Below are 8,395 nucleotides of genomic sequence, written 5' to 3'. Positions count from 1 at the left end.
GTATCTGTAGAAACCATGAATGTTTCATCTGTTTTTCTTTTCTTTTCTTTTCTTTTTGAGACGGAGTCTTGCTCTGTTGCCAAGGCTGGAGTGCTGGTTGCTCTGTTGCTCTGTTACTCTGTTGCCCAGGCTGGAGTGCAGCTTACATCTTTGCTTCCTGGGTTTAAGTGATTCTCCTGCCTCAGTCTCCCGAGTATCTGTGACTCCAGGTGTGTGCCACTATGCCTGGCTAATTTTTTGTATTTTTAGTAGAGACCATGTTTCACTCTGTTAGCCGGGATGGCCTCAATCTCTTGACCTTGTGATCCACCCGCCTCGGCCTCCCAAAGTGCTAGGATTACAGGCATGAGCCACCGTATCCAGCCTCATCTGTTTTTCTAATGTGTAGTGTCCAGCCCTACGGGGTTTAGCAGGTGTTCTCCCTGTGTGCGGAGACGAGAGATTATAATAAATAAAGACACAAGACAAAGACATAAAGAGAAAGCAGCTGGGCCCAGGGGACCACTACCACCAAGACGCAGAGACCACTAGTGACCCCGAACAGCTGGACGGGCTGATATTTATTGCATACAAGACAAGGGGGCAGCGTAAGGAGGGTGAATCTTCTAAGTGATTGACAAGGTGAAGCAAGTCATGTGATCACAGGACAGGGGGCCCTTCCCTCTAAGGTAGCCGAAGCAGACAGAGAGAAGGCAGCATACGTCAGCGTTTCCTTCTATGCACTTATAAGAAAGAACAAAGACTTTAAGACTTCCTTCTACCATTATCTACTATAGACTTCAAAGAGGAACCAGGAGTATGGGAAGAACATGAAAGTGGACAAGGAGTGTGACCATTGAAGCACAGCACCACAGGGAGGGGTTTAGGCCTCTGGATGACTGTGGGAAGGCCTGGATAATTTATCCAACCTCTCACAAGAAGCTGGTGGAGTAGAGTGTTCCCTGACTCCTCCAAGGAAAGGAGACTCCCTTTCATGGTCTGCTAAGTAATGAGTGTCTTCCCAGACACTGGCATTACCACTTGACCAAGGAGCCCTCAAGCGGCCCTTATGGGGGCATGAGAGAAGGCTCACCTCTTGCCTTCTAGGTCACTTCTCACAATGTCCCTTCAGCACCTGACCCTATACCCGCCGGTTATTCCTAGGTTATATTAGCAATGCAATAAAGAGTAATATTAAAAGCTAATGATTAATAATGTTTATAATAATGATTGATAATTGCCCATGATCATCTCTATATCTAATTTGTATTATGACTATTCTATTCTAACAATTTTCTTTATTATACTGAAACAGTTTGTTTCAGTCTCTTGCCTTGGCACCTTGGTGACCTTTCGCCCACACTAATGGTCATATAATATAGTTTAGATGTCTCCTCCAAATCTCATATTGAATTTTAATCCCTAATGTTACAGGTGGGGCATGGTGGTAGATGGTTGAATCATGGGGATAGATTTCTCATGGCTCTGTGCTGTCCTTGTCATAGTGAGTACTCACGAGATCTGGTGGTTTAAAAGTGAAGCATATCCCTCCCTGATCTTTCCTGTTTCAACTCCTACCATGTGAGATTCCTGCAGCTCTTTCATTTTTCATCATGATTATAAGCTACTTTAGATGTTAATATTGTTACAAAATTTCACTGAATTTTCTTGTAAAATTACCTGACAAAGTTTATGTTATTATACCATTAATGTGATAAATAAATATATTATGACATTACAACATATTATGATATCATAATTCATATGTATTATGACATCACAATATATTATGACATCATAATGCACACACAACATGACATCATAATATATTATGGCATCATAATTTATACTACAACATCACAATATATCATGACATCATAATGCACATGTATTATGACATCAAAATTCATAGGCATTATCACGTCACAGTATATTGTGACATCATCATCAGTATGTGTTATGACATCACAATATATTATGACATTATACTTCATATGTATTATGGCATCACAGTACATTATGACATCGTACTTTGTATATAATATGATGTATCATGAATTATTATGTAATTGATATGTATTACATATCTATTAGATGGCTCTGGATGTCTTGGGCTCTGTGGGGCAGGCTGGGGGTCAGAGGAGACACACATGCTGCAGATGGGGAGACTGGGGCACAGGGTCCTGGGGTTCCAGGAGCAGTGAGGAGGCCAGGATTGGCCTGTGGGGACTTTGATGTTGGCTCTGGGTGAGGTGGCTACTGTAGGTGTGAGCACAGCAGTGCTTGGGGGCTCAGGTGGCTGCCAAGGGGCAGATGGATGGAGGGGACAAAAGCTACAGCCCAGCAGGAGGGCAGGGTGGCCATGAGGGTTGTAAAAGTGATGCCAACAGCATTTGTGGGGGATTGGCTGTGGGTGTGAAACAGCAGCAGCGGAACAATTCCGTCATTCTGGCCTGGAACAGTGGCAGGTGAACTCTGCCCAGTTGTGGAGGGGTCTGTCAGGAAGATGGGGCTTCTGGTTTCAGAGGAGCCCAGAGATGTGCTCAGGCAGATGAGGGTCCTCATGGGATAGGCATGGGAGAGGCAGCTGCAACTTGGGGACCACTGGTGGTGGGCTGAGCCCCTGAGACCTCTGGAGTGAGCAGGAAAGAAAGTGAGGAGGAGCCAGCCAGGGAGCCAGAGGCAGAGGGAAGAGAGGAAAGTAGACCCCGGGAGGAGCAGACAGGAAAGGATGAAAATTTCCCCTCACCTGCCTCAACAGCCTCTGCCCCTGCCCACACACCCTTGTGCACTCCCCCTGAGTCCCTGCTCACCTCTGCCTACCCAGCCATCCCAGGATGGTGTGGGCTCAAGCTCTGGGGGTAACTGAAGAGCCACTTTAAGAAGGCACAGTCTAGAAGTGAGCAGCATTGAGTCACTGTTGTCTCCCAGTCCTGGGAACATCCTGTGCCACAGTTTGCTGAGCTGTCTTAATCACCAGTGGGTCCCCATCTCCCACCCCTGGAATCCCAGAGGACAGCTCAGAGTTGTGATTGGTGCCTCTTCCCAGCGTCTCTCTACACAGCTCCCGGCTGTGCTTCAGCATCCTCCACCGAAAGGTGGGCCTGTCGCTGCATGTGAATGGCAAGGAGGTCACTGTGGGGAAGCGGCTGCCTCCTTTCTCTTTCCTGGGCCCCTGGTGCCTCTCTCCTGGGGGTAAGGCAGTTGAGCCTACCCACAAGTCCAGGCAGGAAGGCAGCCCCACCCCAGCACCCAGAAATTAGAAAAACTAGCTGAGGTGTGAGAGGGGGAATGGTGACAGCCCTGGAAGTCAGGATAAAAAAGAGACGAAGCCTCCAGGCCGCCATCCTCACCAGTGCCCGCCGGGCCCTGAAGCTCTGCAGGGGGTGGCTTATGGGCTCAGAGGCTTGTGGACCAAGGCTTCTCAGCTGCTTCTGAGGCTCCCAGCTCTGCAAGGGGCTGGGTTTCTTCTCCTGGTAAACTGCTCCCAATGCCTGTCCTGACTCACTCACTTAGCTGGGCTACCTGCTGGGCCTCCTTCCTGGTGGGCCCTCCCCATGTGCCTCCCTGTGCAGGTGGGGTATCCCCTTGAGACTCCATTATTCTTTGAGGCTTTCAGGCCAGGATGAAGAACCCCAGCCTCTCAGCAGGAGCAGCCACTTGGGGGAAGCAGAGGGAATAGAAAGGCACACATTGCCAGCTCTGAGCATGACTGGGTGGGGACATTGTGTTGAAGCTCCTGGGAGCCTCATTCAGCCCAAGTAGATGTCCTTGAAATGTCAACACTCTCCCTACACAGGAGAAAAACATGAGACTCGGAGTGGGCAGGGTGATCTTGAATCGGGGGTCTGGTCAGATGGGTCTCTGTTCCTCACCTCAGCTATGGCCTTCATGTGTGCTTCCACCAGCAGAGACCCCTTCCTGGACTTTGCCCCAGTGGATGGACAGGAAACTGCCAGCCATGCTGGCCACCACAACCAACTTTCACTGCCTGGCTCCTAGCAACCCCACTCTCTCCATCTCCTGGCTGAAGAACCACAAGAGGTCTAAGGAGAGCATCACATCAGGATATTGAGGTGGGCCTGGAAGTTGGTGGGAGTGTGGGCTGGATGTGGAAGGTGGGACCTGTCTTTTGCTTACCTGTCCTTCCACCTGGAGCTATGGCACCAGAAGTAGACCCTGATCATGGAGTGTGGTGCCCTCAGACTGCTTTCATCCCACCTCTGTGATGAAGAACAAGTGCAGCAGCCTTCAGCAGACATGCATGCTGGACAGCTGGGTGAGGACTGTGGCCTGTGGGCAGGGTGCAGGGAGCTAGGCAGCCTCTGAGCTCCCATCTATTCTCTCAATGTGCCCTCCTGACCAACTCTTTCTACCTGCAGGACTGCTGACCAACCAGATGCAGTAAGGTGAAATTCCACTGCAAAGTGTATGGCAACTTAGTATGTGGAGGTGAACAACAGCAAGGTGGGTGTCAATGGCATGCCCTATGTGACTGTGCTTAGGTTAGCTGCTGCTGCTTGTCAGGAGCATGGGGATGGCATGCCGATGCTCCACTTCACTAAACTCTACCATCATTATAGAAGTTTTGGAGTAGCCTATGAAAGACAGAATCATGTCATTATCCAAGAGACAAAATCCTCTAGAGTAAGCAGTTCTCCTGGATATAAACTTGGTGCTGGTTCATTTAGCATTTGCTACGAACCAATGTCTAAAATTAGAGGCAGTTTCTCCTAAAGTGAGATGACATGAGTCAGTTGATAAAAGTGTGAAGCACTCCTGTGAGTATTGTCCCTCATAATTCATTCAAAAACATTTGCTTCTGTCTTTGCAACTTCATGCTCTCTGAATTCCCACACTGAGTAAAAACCTCCTTGGTGGGCTTATAATCAATCTCACGTATTTAACAATTTGGATTTTATCTTACGTTCCGCTATAAAATATGGAACAAAATCGGTTTGATTTACAGTAGATGTAAAATAGAAAAATTAGGATGGGCTATTCTGGACATGTAGAATTAGTTCCTTTTATGAGTTTTCTACAAACCTGTATTTATTACACTAAAATAATGCTAAAATATATTTTGTTTTATTGTGTGGAGTTTAAATGGATACACTGGATAATGGAATAACATTAACTAAATAAACATTGATGCCTATTTTTTTCAGTGTTTTAAAATTTTTTAACAAAGATTTCTTTTTACGGTAAAATTGCACTTCATTAAATCTACTCCTAAATATTTCTTTCTTTTTCATACATACACAAATGGATTGTTTTTTTAATTTTATTTTCAGGTTGATCATTGTTAGTACATAAAAGTACAATTGAACTTTGCATATTGATTTTGTATCTTGTGACCTTGCTGAACTCATGTATTGGTTTTAGTGGGTTTTAATGAGTTTTTTATAAACTTTTATATTCACTTATGTCCTCTGCAATGATAGACAATTCTAACATCTTATTTTCCCACATTGATGATTTTGTTTTTTTCTCTCATGTAATTTCTTTGGATGTTAACATTTTTGCCTTGTTCTAAAATGTCAAGACACAACAACCAGTATTTTACTATTATGGCGTTAGGTGTAAGTTTTTCATTGATGCTCTTTAGCAGATTTAGGAAGTTTGCTTGTACCCTTCCTTTCCAGGGAGATTGTGAATGAATATTGGATTGGTCAAATGCTCCCTGTGTCTGTTGAAAGGCTCTTTCTGTTAATTTCCTTTATCCTATTACTTTGTGTAAGGCACTGATTGATTATCGGATAGATCAATATTGCATCTGTAAAATAATTCCATTTGGTCATGGTGTACATTCATTTTGATATATTCTTGATTCATTTCACTTTTTTGAGAATTTCTCTGTGTGTATTCATCAGGGAAATTCATCCATACACATATTTACTTCTGATGCTTTTGTCTGCCTTTAGTATCAGGGTAATACTGGCCTCACAGAACAAATTGGGAAGTGTTCCCAATAACTGTCCCGTATTTTCTGGAAGGCCTTGTAAAGAGTTGGCATTAATTCTTCATTAAATGTTTAGTAGAATTTACCAGTTAAGCCATGTGGCTCTGGGCTTCTCTTTTTGTGAAGATTTTTAATTAATTGAATCTCTTTACTTGTTATATGTGTATTCATATATTCTGTTCCTTCTTGGATTTGCTTTTATAATTGGTGCCTATTGAGGTATTTATTTCTAATTTGTAGTATTTCATGTGTTTAGGTTTTCTAGACAGTTGGCACAGAAGATTCAAGAAGTTTAATGTAGGAGAATGTTTAATGTAGGAGAATGAGGCTTTGGTGTCATCAATGAATGACTTAAGTTTCTTATGTTGTAAAGAAAGATATGACCGTAACTGCCATAGTTAATATTTATTGTGCAAGTCAAATAAGAAGGCAGGAGGAAAGGACATCCATCACTCAATCACACACCAGTGTACTCATTAAAGCCTTTGAGAAGGACCCTCAACATTTTCCAAGAGAATTCCTTTCCTGGAATCACCATTATAGAGAAACTGGCTAAACAGACAGGCATTTCAGAGTCCAAAATTTACATTTGGTTTCAGAACCAAAGACCTCAGCTCCCAGGCCACAGCAGAAGCGGGCTTGTGAATTCCCTGGCAGCGGGTCCAAGACCAAGACCTCATCTGACTGTTTGGCTGGAACAAAACATGTGCACTACCCCAGGCAGGTCTCATCTTCTTCCTGCCTCCTATTCTGTCAGCAGCCACCTGTCATTTGTACCAGCTCTTCCTTCACCTCCCACAACCTGTGATTTTTTGGATCCCTCTGCAGGCTGTGTGAGCCAGGCACCAAGGGTCACGATGCACATAGCACCCTGGCTGTGCAGATGGGAGAGTTCTCTCAACCTCTTCTGGCACTTAGGAGTCATATGTCAATGGTACCAACTCTAGGAGGGAGGCTCTCCCATACACAGACTTGTTTCTGGCCTCAGTCGAAAGGAAAACTTTAGGATGACAAGAAAAATAAGACACTGGCCTGGAAGTTCTGCCTTAAAGGGACAGCCACAGCCTGGTCATCCTTAGCCACAATTTTAGAGTCTGGGTCAACAGGACACATCCCACCTTCACAAGTGGTGGAGCTTAGGCAACGGGTCCCAGGATGCCATGATTCAATGGCAACCTGGAGCAGGAGCACCTTAGTAGCCCATGCACATAGGTCTACCTGTGGCAGAAACAGGCACAAGCCATGAAAGAGCCATCTATCTGCTGGAGCAACCACACCAGTCATCTGCATGATCTTCTACAAGTCCCAGAGTTTCAGGAAAAGGCACAATCTTTTCGGAATGCAGATCCACAAGAGGAGGGCCCTCCGTGGTCTGAATCACCACTCAGTGAGAAAGAATTTCAGGCTCTGCTTAACAGGCTGCAGAGCTCACCAGGGGATCAGCTTTAGCAGGCAGGCATCCTTCTCAGCACTGCCATCCAGGACTCTTTCCCTTGGACACAAACAGCAAAATGCCAGGAAGACGGGACCAGGAACACAGTGTGGTCAGAAGCAAGACTGATGCAAGAAGCAACCACTTGGAAATCCAAAGGGAGCATTTTGGCCCTCTCCTGTGGGCAGCCCTCAACTTTGGTGCTCACTTCCTAACCTCAGTGACGGTTTCTGAGCTTCATCCTGCCTCTGGAGTCCACATGGGCTCCAGGTGGTGAACAGTTTCACTGAATCCTGATGCAGCAAAGCAGCATTCTCATGACAAACAGGACCTCTTCACTTTGATCATAAGCTCCTGGGCCATCTGGACAATGCACAAACTGGAAACCCAGCACGGGGAGGAAAGTAGCTCTAAGGGGGACACATTCCCACTTCTTTCCCTTCTAGCAAGTTTGAAAGCTAATTGTAAATGCAGGTGGATATGTAGAAAATGAGGGCATGCTATAACATCTCATCACATGAGGTTGTGACCAGGAGTTTTTAATCCTAGCTCTGAGAGCTGCAAATGGGAATTGGAAGTTTTTCCACTAAGCATCTATCAATGACTGATTGTGCAAGCTTATCTTCATCATGCTGAGGAGTCTTCACTGAGAATTTTCCTATTGAACAAATAAACATAGAGATAGTGACAAGTAGGCCAGGCATAGAGGCTCACGCCAGTAATCCCAGCATTTTGTGAGACCAAGGTGGGCAAATCAGTTGAGGCCAGGAGTTCGAGACCAGCCTGGGCAACATGTCAAAACCCCGTCTCCACTAAAAACACAAAAAACAGCTGGGCATGGTTACTCATGCTGGTAATTCCAGCTATTCGGGTGGCTGAAGCCTGAGAATCTTCTGAACCCAGGAGGCAGAGGCTGCAGTGTGTTGATATTTTGCCACTGTACTCCAGCTTGGGCAACAGAGCAAGACTCTGTCTCAAAAAAAAAAAAAAAAGAAGCAAGTGAGTAAGAGAGAGAAAACTAT

General features: G+C 45.4%; 1 long non-coding RNA gene across 1 annotated transcript; it reads left to right on the top strand.

Annotated features, from left to right (window-relative positions):
* Positions 1-3,893: 3,893 nt before the first annotated feature.
* Positions 3,894-4,508, top strand: LOC105379537 (uncharacterized). Its single transcript, XR_951349.4, has 3 exons — positions 3,894-4,055; positions 4,138-4,258; positions 4,362-4,508. It is a non-coding gene; the product is annotated as an uncharacterized LOC105379537 (long non-coding RNA).
* Positions 4,509-8,395: the final 3,887 nt, after the last annotated feature.

This window comes from Homo sapiens, assembly GCF_000001405.40.
Source record: "Homo sapiens chromosome 16 unlocalized genomic scaffold, GRCh38.p14 Primary Assembly HSCHR16_RANDOM_CTG1".
Taxonomy (NCBI): Eukaryota; Metazoa; Chordata; class Mammalia; order Primates; family Hominidae; genus Homo; species Homo sapiens.
This window is presented reverse-complemented; position numbering and strand designations above follow the sequence as displayed.